This window comes from Homo sapiens, chromosome 13 (assembly GCF_000001405.40).
Source record: "Homo sapiens chromosome 13, GRCh38.p14 Primary Assembly".
Classification (NCBI taxonomy): domain Eukaryota; kingdom Metazoa; phylum Chordata; class Mammalia; order Primates; family Hominidae; genus Homo; species Homo sapiens.
In genome coordinates, this window is record NC_000013.11 from 51921103 (window position 1) to 51936958 (window position 15856).

A 15856-nucleotide genomic window follows, 5' to 3' on the forward strand; every position below is an offset into this window, starting at 1 on the left:
TCAATACGCAGACATTGATCTGAGAATGGAGAAGCGGCTACACATTTCTCAGGCTGTCAAGTACCTGCAGTGACCATGAGCAGTAAGGTGTGTGGCAAGAGATGGGGCAAGCCCTGGGTTTTCCTTCAAGACCTGGTGCAGAGCAGACGTTCGGATATCTAGCAGGTTTGCCTCTCAATCCATAAACCTGGGTCTCTAGTGAACTGCTATTCCAGTCTCTAATTCCACTGGGCTGGAAATTACAGATTGGTTGTTACTGGACTCCAGGAGGCTCCCAAAGTCTCACAGAAATCCAGGAGACTTAAATGATCCAAGGGCAGGAAAGAAGGCTGCTCATCCCAGCCTAGCAGCGGATTTGCTCCTCAGTCTTCAGTGTCTAAGCTCAGAGCAGTTCCTGCAAGTCTACCTCCAGGCAAGGGAATCTACCGAGGTGGGGCACCCCTGGGGGCTGTGCCTCTCTAAGGCACACCAGGCACCCTCTTCCTCGGAGCTCTTGCTGTCAGTAGCCCACCTAAGCACACATCCAGGCAACACCTGTCCTTTGCTCACCCAGGCCACAGGGGAAGCTCTGGGCAACTCCTCTTCCAGGACATTAACGCAGCATAAGGGGATAATGGTCTGCTCTACCTTCAAGCCGTCAGAACTTAAGGGGCTCAAGCATCTTTTTCTCACAGACATGTGCCCCCTGCTCTCCCCTCTCTCCCACTCAGCTGGGGAGCGGAGGTCCAAAGCATTTTCTCAGAAACTCAACCTGATGTAATCTTTCTCACATTCTTTCTCATCAGTATCCCTCCCCACCCACTGTGTGCGTGTGTGTGTGTATGTGTGTGTGTGTTGGGGATATGTGTTGGTTCAGCCTGATCATGCAATCTCTCCACTCATTTATACGTGTGGGTTGTGCTTTTTAAAACATAACTGTCAAGACTTAACGTCTTTGTTTTCTTGTTCCTCCCTCACACCTCTCTGCAGGCAGCCCTGGCCTCTTGAGCAGGGAGTGTCAGAGGGTGGAGATGGCGTATCAGTTCATCCTTTACAGACCATCCAACCGCAGGAGTTATCGCTTGAAAAAAGGTTTCACAGTTCGTTGGGAAATGCTGGGCACATGCCCTTTTCTTAATGACTCACGGGGCAGATAAACACAGGAAGGGTCATCTCCAGAAAAGAGCCCTGTTTATACACTAGTGATTCCCAAATGCGCTCAGCTTCAGAGGCTTCTTCAGAGAAGTCTTGGGTGGGCGTGGCCCAGGCTTAGGCTCCTGTTCCCAGGACTGCTGGGTTGTATTTCTATATACAAAGCAGTTGATACTTTTCACGGTAATTTTTTAAATTATTTTTATTTATTTAGTTTTGGGGACAGGGTCTGGCCCTGTCACCCTGGCTGGAGCACAGTGGTGTGATCACAGCTCACTGCAGCCTCAACCTGCCAGGCGACAGCAGTGACTCCTGTGGGACAGGGATCACACCTGCAGAAGAGCTTAGGTGGGTGGATTCACTTCCTGTTGCAGCTGTAACAAACTACTGCAAACTTCATGGCTTAAAACAATGCAAATTTGTCCTCTTACCGTCCCAGAGGTTGGAAGTTTGAAATGGGTCTTATGAGCTAAAATCAAGATGTGGGCAGGGCTGGGTCCTTCTGGAGGCTCCAAGGGAGGATCTATTCCTCGCCTCTTCCAGCTTCTGAGGCCACCACAGTCCTTGGCTTGTGGCCCTGCCTCCATCTCCAATCGCATCCCTCCAACCTCTTCCTCTATCATTGCATCTCCTCTCTGATCCTCCTACCTCCCTCTTAGAAACACCCTTGTGATTATCTGGGGCCACCCACATGGTCCAGGATCCTCTTGCCATGTCAAGACCCTTAATCACATGTGCAGGGCTCCTTTTGCCCTTCACAGGCTCTGAGGATTCGGATGAGGATGTCTTGGGGGCCACTGTTCTGCCAGCTGCAGGGTGTGGTGCTGGAGGCATGGAGTGGGCTGTCTGAATCCTCCATCAGAGTCCGGTGATGGCAATGTAACCTCACGTGGAGCTGGCTGGATGATTCTTGGACAAGCCTCTGTTGGCAAATCCTGATGAGCCCTAGGCACTCTGCACTGCAGCCTGCCAATGCCAGCAGGGATGGGAGACTACACTTTTGACAAACCAAGTCCAGTCCTAGACACTGAGATCTGGGCTGCGACTCAGTCCTCTCTGCCCCATCGCCTGTGATGGGACCTCTCCGGAGACAGAATGCGATGGGCTGGTGAGGAGCTGCTCTGTGACCTGACAGGCTTCACTGCCACCACCACAGCCACCTGGGGAGGCGATGGAATGGGTGGCTTGTTAAGGCCAGGAAAAGCAACAGTGTCAGTTGTGCCACACCCACACTGAGATCGGTTGAAAGCCCACAGCCAAGCACCAGACCCTCAGGCAGCACATCTCACAGTGGAAAGTGCCGGCAGCCACTCAGATGCTTTGGGGCTGGCGCTGTGGACTTGAGAGCCACTGGTGAGACAAACAGCTCCAAAGCTGCCTGTTCAAAGAAGAAGAGAGAAAAAGAAGGGAGGAGAGAAGGAAGGGATGGAAAAAAAGGAAGATGAAGGAGAGAAGGGGGTAAAAGAAGAAACAAGAGGGGAGGGGAGGAGAGGAGAGGGGAAGGAAGGGGAGGGGAGGGGAAAAGAAGGGAGGAGAGGACAGGGGGACAATCCCCCAAGCCCAATTAGCCCTCAGCCACCCCTGCAGAGATGAGCAGCTGTCCTCCAAAGCTAGGAGGCACTCTGGTTTCATTGCAGGTGAACCTCAAGAGAAAATCTCACCCACAGGCAGCAGTTTGGTCCTATTTTCCCCAGGTGGGTACCTGCCTTTTGGCACCCCTCAGACGAAGCCCCTTTGGGGGCTCTATGAATTATCTCGAGTTAATAATAAGCATCAGGCACCCTCAGGGCTTGGGGCTGGGTAAAGAAGAGGAGGAACAACCTACTCCTGATCAATTTTGAAAACCACGCCTTCCTCAACCTTTCAGCTACCCTCCCACCTTACAGCTGCTTCTCCCCAGAGCCTTGCCCTCTAGTCATTCCTGTCTGGGACTGGCCACCTGGTGGCCTTCTAGAGGTTGGCGCCCTATTCAGATGTCCTTTGGACTCTCCTCCCCCACTGTTTAAAACAAAACAACAACCAAAAAAACACCCCCTCAGGCCTGGCTTAAGTGGCTCTCACCTGTAATCCCAACTCTTTGGGAGGCCAAGGCAGGAGGATCACTTGAGCCCATGAGTTCCAGACCAGCCTGGGCAACACAGCCAGACCCCTTCTCTAAAACAAAAACAAACAAAAACCTCTTTTCCTCTTTCCCCCAGTCCCAGGAGAGGGGGTGCTGGGTCTGTTGATGGTCTCCACAATCCTGCCAGTGGGGTTGAGTCTAGGGATGGAGCCCCCATCTGCCCTGTTATTCTTCCTAGGACCCCCACTTCTGCATTCTTGGGGCCACAGTTCAGAGAATGGGGCAGAGAGGGGATGGTGGAGTCTCCTGAGTTGGTGGAAGAGAAAGAAGAGAGCACTGCTGGCTGTGCCTGCTTCCTTCCGTCCTGCCTGAATTCTGCCTGTCTCCAAACAGTGTGGCCCCACTCAGCCTACTCATCCCCTTTCCCGCTCTCCCCAGCAGCCAGGATGCACCCCCACTGCATACAACAATCATGCACCACCTGGACCATAAGCCCTCTCTTCCCCTCCCGAGCAAATCCCTCCTGTGCCTGACCTCACTCAGTTCTCACCCTCTCTCAGCAGCATTCCCAGAAGATCTCTTCTCTGTATCTGATATAAACTGTATTGTGGGAGGAGAGATTCTGTGGTCCCACCAGTATGTTTGGGAAATGCGGATTTTACGCTGCAGGACTTCTCAGAACCTTTGACATAACAAGATCTGCTGGCAAGGGGCGAGCCAGCACACGTAAGCACCTCAGGCCCTTGACACCTCTTCCTCTGGGAAGCCTTCCTGGCATTACTAGACATTACTCCTTTCTAAATTTCTCTTGCACTTAGAAGGAATGCGCCACTGTTTAGCTCTTTCTTAGTTGCTCATTTGTTTTCCCAAAACTCCACTGCCTTCGTCTAGGCACCCCCTAGCAAAGCAGCTTGAGGACAGGAGTCCCATTTCATACCAAGCTAAGCACCTGGCAGGAACATCACATTTCATCGACTGACTTCTAAAACTGATTAAAACTAGCAGAAAATTGTGTCAGCTTTCTGATAATTTCTCCACTTAATTGCCATCTTACATCATCAGCAAAAGTACTGCCGGTGAGCACTTTCCATAGAAATTGAAACAAACAAGGAAGTGATTCTTAGAACAGATGCTACCAAAGGTGGAATTAACTTTTTTCTTTCCTTGTACTAATCTAGATGGTTTGTTTATAAATAGCAATACACACATCCCTACACATCACACATACACACACACCCCTACACACAAAACACAAATATAGACACATAGAGCCATCCCAGACAGCCCCTCAGTTCCAGTAGTTACAGAGATGCATAGAGATGTGTACCAGAGCCTTCCTTGGTAACTCATGCCCCTTCCACACTTCCTCCCACAGCTTGCCAAGGAGAGACACTCTGCCCATTCTGCCCTGACCATGTGGCTTTCCCCTAAACACCCCTTACCCACCCAGGCCTCCACCTTCATATTCTTCCATGAAATCACACTTCAGTGCCAGCCCAGATGCCACCCTTCCTCCCCAAAGCTGAGACCGGACATGATTTTTTCTCCTCACCAAATCCCTCTCCTAAGACAAGGAGCTCCTTCTGTCATTAGCTGTGTGTGTAGTAGTGTGTTTATGTGTGCAGTGGTGTATGGTGTGGTGCATATATGTATGTAAATGTGCATGAGGTATGTGTGTTGTGCATATGTGTCTATGTGTATGTGGTATGTGTGGCATATATGTATGTGAGGTGCATGTGGTATGTGGTGTGTGCAGTGTGACATATATGTGTGGTGTGTGTCTATGAGTGTGTGGTATGTGGTGTGTGTGGTGTGTGTGTGTGGTGTATGTGTCTATGTGTGCGTGGTATGTGGTGTGTGTGGTGTATGTGTGTGTGTCTTGTCTTCCCTGCACTGGTTCCTTGAGGCAGGCTCTGTGCCTTCCCTGAATCCTTCCAGGCTCAGCATGGGCTCAGGACTTCCCTGGGGACCTGGAGATGGGAGCCCCTCCCGCAGTGACCTCCTTGCTGTGGCTTTTCTCTTCCTCACTCACTGTGGATGAAGCCACCTCCAGCTCCACAGCCCCCGTTCTGGTGACTTCCCACTTGCTGGGAGAGGCCAAGCTAACCTGGGTCCCTCCAGGAGATCTGCTTCATGGGCAGTGGACACAATTCACTAGTCCTCCCCACTGCCGAGGTGAGGGCGTAATCAGAGTAAACCCATGGATGACACAGGGGAAAGCCCTGGAGCATTAGAGCAGCCTGAATGTTTAGGCTCAGGAAGAAGGGAAGAGCCCGTGAGAGGCAAAACAGGTTAAGGTCCCTTCATGGTTGGGGGTGGGGGGGGTGGGGCGGGTTTGTGGGTGTGGGTGTGGGTGTGGGTGTGTGTGCATGTGCGCGCACGCACACGCACAGTGGGTGGGGACAGGGGCATGCTGGGAGCAGGAGGGATGGAATTATCCTCTGAATGCTCTAAGGTGGGACAGGGAGCAAGGATAATTGACAGTGATAGCATAAGTAACATTAAAACATTACTAGATCATTCTGTGATGCATTTATACTTCTAAGCATCATGTTGCACATCATAGATACATATAATTTTATCTATCAATTTAAAAAATAAAATAATAAAACAAACATATATATAAAACACTGTTATTCAGAAAAACAAAGATTAACTAGAGATTGGTGGAGCTTTAAGGGGAAAACAAAGCCCCCAGCCTAAAGCATCTAGTGCTTCATACTTTACAGGAAACCCCAATAAACCCAAGTAAGTGTATCCTAAGTCACAAACAGGCAATATCAGCTTCTTTGAGGTTCCCAGAAGTAATACATGTTAACATTTTTAGCTGGATCTAAGCTTATATGGATTTTGGCATTAATTCCGAACATTAAATAGGAAGGAGAAAATGGAAGTTTATAAAACACCCATATTCCTCCAAAATAAATAAATAAATAGACGATCCCCTCACTGCTCCCCACCCCACCCCAGGAACTATTAATAGCAGGTTATTCTGTGATTAAATTCACACGATGCCACGGCCCACTCGCTGCTGTGATGGAAGTACCACACCACCGTGCTAGGTTTATATTTAGCCCCCAAAGCTGGGTCATCAGAAACAGCAGAGCAAGATTGTTCTATTTTAATCAAAAATTAGTACATTCTTTAGGAATTCATATCTAAAGGTGATGTAATTCTGTCCTGGAGAAAAGGTAAAGATATTTTAAAAGGTTGCTGAAAATGATCGAATTACTGAATATAAGGCAGGTGGGCTGAATGACATAAGGTCCTGTCTTCTAAAACCAGACTGAAATGCCACATTAAAACTCATCACTTTCCTCATCTCCACACTCTTGTTCACTAGCACCCTTTACACTCACGTCCTCAATCCCCAATGTGCACCAGCATCATTCAGGCGGTCAATAAATATTTTCCAGGAGCCTGCATCCCATTCCATCCCAGATGCTCCCTGAGAGCTTTTACCTCTCCAGTCCCTACTTGGGGATGCCCCATCAGTGCCATTCTAATGATGACTGCCTTTTATGAGTGTCTGCTGTGTGCCATGCACCGTGCTAGGCATTTTATGTACATAATTCCCCTTAACCTTCACAAGCCACGGAGGCAGCAGTGAACTCATTTTACACCGATTCAGAAGCCCAGAATGGTGAGTGACTTCCTTGAGGGGTACAGTCGGGTTTTGAACTCGGGTCTGCCCCAACTCCAAAGCCAGTGCTATTAACCTCCCCTACATTCCGTGGTCTTCCACTGGACCCAGGGCACACTGAGGTGGAGGACACATGCAAAGACCACCAAGAACCAAGAGAACTGGGGGTCTGGCCTGGTGTCCAGTAACTGGACAAACGCAGCTCTTTTTAAAGGCAAACTTTTGTCATCAGTCCACTAAGTCCTAGCAGCAGGCCCCAGAACAGGAACTTCCTCTGGCCCAACATAGAAAGGTGGCTTTTACCTGCTCCAGGAACAAAGGCTGAGGTGGTTTGTTTTGTTTGTTTGTTTTTTCCTAGAATACAGACATCATCACTCTTAACAGCAACGATGACAACAGCCGCTAGCATTTCTTGAGCACTCCGGATGTGCCGGGCACTATTCTAATTGCTTTACTCAGATGACCTCATCATACCCTCATGGCAGTGCTGTGAGACAGGAACTATTATTATCCCCATTTGTGCAGATGAGAAGGCTGAAGCCCCGACTGCACTCAACTGCGAAGAGGTAGGATGATCTGAGGGAGACGGCATGACACATTCACTGCCTGTTGAGATCGCCTGTGACCACTGCGTACCTTGCACTTGTGTGCAGGTTTCCTGTGGACTGCCCCTTCCAACCTCCTAGCTCAGGGCAGTAATGAGGGCAGTTCTTATCAAACAGATGAGAAAATAGAGGTCTGGAGCAGTTTGTAGAGTGGCCCCCAGGGATTTGGTGAGGATCTATTTTCTAAGCTACCAGGGTATTAGCTTTGTAATCAACTGCTGAAGACAGATTTCTGTCCAGGGGTTTGAGGTGGAGTTCTGTAGACCCAAACACAGGTGGTAGAACATGGAGCTTTGGAGCCATCAAAAATACTGTGAGCCCTTTAAAAACCTTTTCTTTTAAAAAATGTTCAAGCCTTAAAAAAAGTTATCCAGGCTGGGTGTGGTGGCTCACACCTGGAATCCCAGCACTTTGGGAGGCCAAGATGAGGGGATCACGAGGTCAGGAGATCGAGACCATCCTGACCAACATGGTTAAACCCCGTCTCTATTAAAAATACAAAAATTAGCTGGGTATGGTGGTGCATGCCTGTAGTTCCAGCTACTTGGGAGGCTGAGACAGGAGAATCGCTTGAACCTGGGAGGCGGAGGTTGCAGTGAGCTGAGATTGTGCCACTGCACTCCTGTTTGAGGACAGAGTGAGACTCCATCTCAAAAAAAAAAAGTTATATAAACTTGCAAGAATATTTAACATGAAGCTCAGATGCACATGATGATAAAAATACGTTGACTGTCGAGTCATCCTAACATGTACTCTGCACTAAATGCATATCTGAGGCTCTAAAACCCTGGGCTGCTAGTACAGGTGTTGCATATATTGTAGCATGGAGGTATCCAGTGGCAGGGCTAACCTCCAGCCTCATGCTCTTCCCCTTCTCCCATGTTTTCCTTCTGATACTTGCATTTCTAGATGCATAAAAAATGATTAAATTGGCTCCAGCTGCAGACTAGGAGGTTGTTTTGGTCAGATAGACACGGGATGGCTCTTGAGATAAGCCACACTGTCCTGCCAAAGGACACCTTTCTTGTCCACATAAGGGGACCAAGGGATGCTGAGGAAGTACAGATTCAACTCCTAAGGAAAGCACCAGCATTCACCTTTGGGAGGAAGAGGGAGCTTTCCAGATGGAGCATAATAGATTACAGGCTTTAGTGCCAGTGCCAAATGGGTTTGAACGCCCCTTCTGTGTCCCGGACAGTCAACTGAACAACCTAAGGCTTCATCCCGTCTGTGGAAATGGGACAGTTATGCAAATAGCTCTTAGTGCCACTGTGAGGAGGGCCAGACAGGCAAGATGAGTGACAGAACCTGCCCAGGCACCCAGCACTCAGCAGCCTGGAGGTATTTGAGCATTGTCTGTCCCCTGACCTGACCAGGACCTGGATCTGCTCTCAACAGGCCTCTCTGAGGCCACTGCAGCACCTCTGTCTCAGATGGCTGACACTTGGTCAGGTGTCGGTCAACAAGGAGCAGGAAGGCTTTGCTCCCTCCATGTCCCGATGTGGTTCATCCACAAAGGACATCCCTCCATGAAGTCATGTTCACTGGCTTTCCTTTTGGGGCTGGGGAGGGAGTATTTGCCTTCCCCCCCCCCACTTTCTATATTTCTATATGCTTAATTTTTTGCTATAAGCAGTTATTATGTTTAAATTGAGAACAGTTAATAGCCGTCTCCATTTCAAAGGGCAAAAATGTTAAATTTCCATTAATTCTTTTCATCTTAGCCCTTAGATGGTTTTACATCTCTGTTTATTCATCTTCCTGAATAAAGTAGATTCTGGGATTTCACAGTATTACTTAGCATTCTCATATTCTATCCTGTAATTTCAACCACTGTCATTGTCTTCACACAAAGAAAAACAGCAAAGTAGACATCTCCCTCTGGAATGAAAGCCTGGACAATGGTGTTTACGTGCCTGCCCAAGGTGAGTTTGAAAATGAAGAAAATAGAGCAGTTTGATTCCTCCTAGCTCCACAATACTTTCCAATACCAAATCAGCTTCCTCACACATCAAGGTAATCTGCAAAGGGAAACTGACAGTCAGCCTAAGTGGCTGCTTAAAGCATTTCTTTGCACATACGTTCCTTGTTTTTTTTTTAAAACAAAGATGCAATTAAGAAAAATGTATGCAAATAAAAATTGTCTAACTCAATTGTATACACATTAGGAAATTTACCTACTAAAACACTGTCATAATTTTTTAGAGCAAAAAAAAAAAACCCCTGCAATTCAAATAATCTCTTTCTAATTAAACTATTTGATTGGCTGATTTTGGTCTATGCTGGATTTATAAAAAATAAGTTTTTATTTTTAATCTTTAATAAAAAAGGTTTTATTTATTAATCTTGATTCCTTGGTAATCTAGCAGAATAATTTGAGAATCTATTTTCTAACATGTCAATTTCCAGATGTCATTTTTGAAAAAAAATGAGAATTACTGCATTTGTTTATTAAAAAGGTAATCCCATCACAATTCTTCACTAAGGTCTTAAAAGACTAAAAGTTATTTGGAATGCTGTGATTTATTCTGCCTGAGGAATATATCAGGAAAATGTGATCAAGTTTTAGAAAGTATCCAAAGGATTATAAATCATTCTACTATAAAGACACATGGACACTATGTTTATTGCAGCACTGTTCACAATAGTAAAGGCTTGGAACCAACGCAAATGCCCATCAATGATAGACTGAAGAAAATGTGGCACATGTACACCATGGAATGCTATGTAGCCATAAAAAAGGATGAGTTCGTCTCAAAAAAAAAAAAAAAAAGGATGAGTTGATGTCCTTTGCAGGGACATGGATGAAGCTAGAAACCATCATTCTCAGCAAACTAACACAAGAACAGAAAACCAAACACCACATATTCTCACTCGTAAGTGGGAGATGAACAATGAGAACACATGGACGCAGGGAGGGGAACATCACACACTGGGGCCTGCTGAGGGGTGGGGGATTAGGGGAGGGAAAGCATTACGAGAAATACCTAATGTAGATGATAGGTTGACGGGTGCAGCAAACCACAATGGCACATGTGTACCTACGTAACAAACCTGCATGCTCTGCACATGTACCTAGAACTTAAAGTATAACAAAAAAAAGAAAAAGAAAGAATCTATCTTCTAAAGAAATGGGATCCCTTCCTAAGGTGGTATCACCCTCACTTTTCACAATGGGACATGCACACAACATGAAATTTCTGTACCCAGGCATCCGGAAAAACAGTCAAGCACGCATGGCATGAAGTCCTCCAGGGTATGCTGGAGGGCGGGGCTGGCCATCTAGCTATGCAGTCACAATGAGCCATGAGATAATCACCTCAATGATTCTACAGAGATGTGTAGGTACCAAGACGTGGATATGGGGGAGAACCTTGAAATATGATAACGGACTATGCCACCAGCATGTCTCTGGAACCTATGATCAGGCAAGGTTCTAAAGTACGTAGTCTGTGTCAATGGAGATGTCACAATGTCTATTTCCCTTTGAAGGAAGGTGAGTATATGTCCCAGTTTGCCTGGATAGTCCCGGTTTAGGCCAGTTGTCCTGGCATAACTATTCATAGTGCCTCCTTCCACTCTTTGAAGTGTCCTGGTGTGGGTGAAGATTACACTGTCAACTCCCTTCAGGTGTGGCTCACTTACACCCCCCGGCCACCCCAAGATGCCCACAGAGCTTTCCCAGCAGAGCCTACTAGTCAAGATTTTTCTGCTCCTCCTCCTGACTCACTCCCTCAAGGCCAAGGAACCCAAAACATATCCCTCCTGATTGAGATGTGTTTGAGAACAGCCTTTTGCAGACACTCACCCTAGAACAGAGGGGTGCAAACGATGCGGTAATTTAAGCCTGTGTCCGATCCAGCGGGGCAGGGACTTTGACAGGAGCTGCCTTTCAGCGTTCTCCCCACACGCCGCTGAGGCAGGCCTGCATTAGAGAAAGGGACTCACACCAGTGCTGGGGATGGCAGATCAAGGGGGCTCTGCCCACCCTCATTCCCCCTACTGTTAAAATCCTATCCTCCTCTGCCCCCTAAAAAGACATGAAGCCAAGCCAGTGCCTCACAGAAGCCCTCGTGAAGACAAGACGGCACTGGCCTCTGACCACGCATCTCACTCACAGGCAGATTTTTAGAGGAATGACAGGAACTTTATTCTAATATTGCATGAAATGTTTTTGAAGTAGAAATGATTATCTGACAAAAAAACTCCTTACACTTTGACCATCTAAAAGGTTATTTTCTATAAAATTATATAAATATTTCCATGTCCATATATGAACACAACGTTTATGGTCCTAAAAGTTTTAAAAATCAACAGAATTAGATTCTTTAGATAATGATCAGCCTAGTCAGAAAACAACATTCCCCAAGCAAGCATAAAGAGAGGACACAATTACTGACGGACAGCGGAAATGTGCTGCGGGCTGGAGTGGGGGGGCTGAAAACAAGGAAAACACAATCAACAGCGCGCTTGGATTTTATAAAATAAAACCCTGCAAAAACTATATGTAAAAAGTGAAACTAACCATCCAAGGTGAAGGTCAGATGACCTCCTGAATCAAGTGCATTCTGAGTTGAAACAATGAATAGATCACCTGGTAGATTTGTTCTTCCAGGAGGCAAGGACCTTTTCCTCGTTTATTCTTATCAGGAAAACTTCTATTCAAGGTAGAAGGACAATAAGAGTGAAGCCTTCACAGCTGACAGACACTGCTTGTCCATTGGCTATGTCATCCTGGGCAAAGTCCTCAGCCTCTTGGAGCCTGTTTCCTTGCCTGTAAAATGTGGACAGTAATAGCTACCCTGCTGGTTGGTTGGGAGGATTAGACGTAATCTATCAAAAGTGCTGCTAAAACTGCCCCTGGCAAGTAATGGACAATGAAAAAAATCACTAAAACTATTTTGTGTGGGAGAAAAGGGTTTCACCCAGAATTTAATCCAACTCTACTAGTTTGCTCCCAAAGGGTTCTGTCAATCACAACCAACTTCAGAGTCTAAAACTGAACCCGTTCTGCTGCTCTGAGAGCCACTGCCAGGTAAACAGATGCTCCCTTCGGGGTGCTGTGGCCACTCCTTTTCTGAAGCCCCTGGGCAGCGTGCAGAATGCAGGCTCAGGGAGGCTGTGTTTTCCTCCTATTTGGGCAGTACCATTTCCTCCAAGCCACACAAGGCCAGGCGCTAGTCACATGAATTCTCTACTGAACCCCACGAGGTGACAGTCAGAAGACTGAAAACGAAGCCCCTTGGGCCGTGCAGGGAGGCTCCTGCACACATACGTTTCCCATGGGGCAAACGTTTCAAGCACCACAGGCTGGGCAGGGATATGGAAGGACGTCCTGAATCGCGAGAACCTACACCCCACAGGAAGCCGAGTACGGACTCTCAGGTCAGGCTCTGAGGCCCTCACTCCAGCTGGTCAGCAACAACACTCTATTGAGAAGCCAACACTCCATGGAGAAGGGGGCTTTAAGCAAAAAAGAACTCTCCTCAACTTGAAGAAGAGTGTGGCAAGCTCCCTGGCTGGGGATGTGTGAGCCAGGAAGCAGGTTCAAGCTGAAATGCACACTCCAGAGCATTGGAGAAGCGCCTGAGAGCAGCAGCAAAGACCACAAGGACATTGGTCCCACCCTCCCAGGTGACAGGCAGGGTTGCGAGGGGTCCCCACTGACAAGCACACAGGAGAGAAAAGGAACAGACTATGTACGAAGAAAGGAACAGACTATGCAGGAAGAAAGCAACAGGCACACCTGAGGTAAACTGTGGTCTCAGAAACATGATGCACACAGACAGGCGTCATCAGAAAGACCCTGACAGTGAGGTCTGCAGTTCTCTGGAAAGGCCCAGTGAGGTTTTTTGGTCCTGATGAAACTGTTCTCCATTTCACAGCAGTCATCCTAAATACTCCAAGCAGAGGTCTGTGAGGAGGGTGACTCGCCTCTCACCTTCTACAGTCCAGCCAAGGACTAGAGTCCAAGACAAAGCCCATGCTGACGGTCCCGTGAGGCCAAGAGGCAGGCAGGGCCGTCCTCTCCAGGCCAAGCCCAGCTGCACCCAGACAAGGCCGCGTGCTGCAGGGCAGGATGACTGGACATATCCAGGGAGCGGAAGTCCCCAAAGCTGGAGGCTAGCTCAGCCCATCCTGCTGCTGGCTGTCCTGCTCAGCTTGTGGTGAGTGGAGGCAAGTCCCTGCCCCGGCCCGCCTGCCTGAAGTCATCAGATGTACTGCTCCTCATCCCTGCCATTCAGGAGCAGAGACCACTTGTCCCCATCATCGTCTGCTGCAGCGCTGTGCCGAGATGGCTTGTCGGACGTCAGGGAGGACAGCGACACCTGGCTGACATAGCTGACCTGGTCCCATGGTGTGGCCCTGGGGGAGTCCCGCCACCTGTCATCCATGCCTATGTGCACACTGACCTGGGATGCCGTCAGGGGCTTCATGTGGCCATGCGCCTGTGCCTCATACCTCTCCAGGTCAGGCTTCTTATAGCTGGAAAGCAGGAACGCAACAGCATCTGAGCCATTCTAGAAACAAGGCTTTTTTTTTTTCTAAGCCTGGTGAAGGCCTCTCATCCATCTTTTAATAACATTCAGTATCAAAACCTCAAGAGTTTCCAAGGAAAAGGACATTAAACTCCCTATGGTTCCAGGAAAGCTCACCTGATTTAGAAACTTCCTAAGCAAATGCCTTGCACATTGTAGGCTGCCACTAACTTTTGTTAAATGAATGCACTCATAAATAAGTGAACATCTTTTTTAAATAAAAAAGTGATAGATCATACACAGGGACCCATGTCTGCTTGATGTTCACATAAACAGCCCTTGAGGAGCAGAGTAAGGGCAGCCCAGCACGTGAATGGGCAGCAGTGAATTGCCTGCTCATGGTGCTGATAAGTTACATGCATGCACACCAGGCTCCATGTGGGCTGCCACTGCAGCATTTGTCCCAGGTGAATGAATGGGAAATGAGAGGCAAGTTCCACTGTGCTAAGCATGCAGAATGACAAGGCCTCCTGGGAGCCTCCCACAGATGCTCCACCTGAGGGGACTCACCACTTGAGCTGCAGGGATGAGAGCACCACAGACACAGAGGAGGCTGCCATGGCCGCTGAGCCCATCCAGGGCTGCAGCACAATGCCGATGGGCATGAAGACACCTGGGGAAGAAAGAACTCGCACTCACACCTAGGTCTGGGGAGAGGAGCCAGGAGAGGGCTTCAGGCACCGGGCTGCCCCACCCTCAGCGGCCCCCAGTGAGGTCTCCACCTGGCGTGCTCAGAAGCCCCTGCCAATGGATCTTGCCCACAGGCCCCCCCCAAAGTGAGGCTTCCTAGAAAGCTGGGTGTGGGATGCTGTTGAGTGGGCCTGGCTCTCTTCCACTCGCCCTGATGTTCCCAGAACCACCCACAGGTGGCATCCCATTTCAGGGCGAGCTCCAGGGCAGCGACAAACCACAAGGAGTGGGAGGAGCGGGAGGAGAAAAGCGGCAGGAGCTGAGGGAGCCAGTTGCCCATCCTGTAGCCACAGTCCCACAGAGGACAAACACGGCTGAGGGCCACAGTCCTTCTCTAGCAGATGATCTCGCCTCCAGGGCTTCATGACATCTTTAGAAGAGGAATGAGAGCCAGGTCCCAGGACAGGGTCAGGAGACAGGTATGGTCAACTTTGTGTGGCAGAGGCACATACACTGGGGGAATTAAGCTCCTGAGCCGGCTCTGGGGACAAGAAGTAAACCTGCCTGACTCACTGGGCTCAGGAAGCCAAGGCCCTGTTACACAAGTCACCACTAACCACTCAGACACAAGGGAGACTGAGGCAGGAATGCTGTGATTACAAACTTGATCTCTCCTCAGCCCATGGAGGAGCACTCTGGAACTTTTCATTGCCATGTTCCTGGGGGCAGGGGGCAGGGAGCAGGGGGCGGGGGAGAGATGGTTCTTAAGGAGGGGGAATGAGGGGGAATTACAAAGCAGAAAAATCTATTTCTTTTCTTTTTCTTTTTTTCTGAGATAGGGTTTCACTCTTGCCCAGGCTACAGTACAGTGGTGCGATCATGGGTCACTGCCACCTCCAACTCCTGGGCTCAATAAATCCTTCTGCCCCAGCCTCTGTACTCCCAGATGGGACTAAGGTGTACGCTACCACGCCCAGCTAACTTTAAAATTTTTTGTAGAGATGGAGTCTCACCATGTTGCCCAGGTGAGTCTTGAACCCCTGAGCTCAAATGACCCTCCTGCCTCAGCCTCCCAAAGTGCTGGAATTACAGGCATGAGCCACCATGCCTGGTCAAAGAGCCATTTCTTTCCATGATCATTTGTGTAACTCAGAGTGAAACTTGGGCAGGATTAATGTTCAGGATAAGGTTCTGAAACACCAATAATTGTGCCTAGCATGTAGCAGATGCCCCATAATTCTTACTA

The 15856-nt window shown here is 48.5% G+C and overlaps 2 protein-coding genes across 43 annotated transcripts in view, besides 1 other annotated feature; both read right to left on the bottom strand.

Annotated features, from left to right (window-relative positions):
* The window catches only part of TMEM272 (transmembrane protein 272), a 121020-nt gene extending 107756 nt beyond the window's left edge, over positions 1-13264 (bottom strand). The window contains exon 1 of one of the 2 annotated variants that reach the window (XM_047430278.1): positions 13188-13264. In XM_047430278.1, coding sequence (XP_047286234.1) covers positions 13188-13215 — 28 coding nt within the window. In that variant the 5' untranslated portion in view covers positions 13216-13264. Of the gene's footprint in view, positions 1-11249; positions 11327-13187 lie in introns of those variants that run through there. The other variant, XM_047430280.1, reaches the window with a different exon arrangement.
* Positions 6627-7826: an enhancer, noted in NCBI's record as "CDK7 strongly-dependent group 2 enhancer chr13:52501865-52503064 (GRCh37/hg19 assembly coordinates)". NCBI's record gives its function as "activates an origin of replication core promoter dependent on BRD2, BRD4, P300/CBP, MED14 and CDK7 cofactors, with strong dependence on CDK7, by STARR-seq in HCT116 cells {active_cell/tissue: HCT116}" and the evidence as "EXISTENCE:reporter gene assay evidence [ECO:0000049][PMID:35650434]".
* Positions 11567-15856, bottom strand: part of ATP7B (ATPase copper transporting beta) — a 79464-nt gene continuing 75174 nt past the window's right edge. For all 41 annotated transcript variants that reach the window (NM_001406541.1, NM_001406531.1, NM_001406527.1 and 38 more), the window contains 2 exons: positions 14491-14593; positions 11567-13927 (listed from right to left, as the gene is read on the bottom strand). In NM_001406541.1, coding sequence (NP_001393470.1) covers positions 13654-13927; positions 14491-14593 — 377 coding nt within the window. In that variant the 3' untranslated portion in view covers positions 11567-13653. The remainder of the gene's footprint in view (positions 13928-14490; positions 14594-15856) is intronic.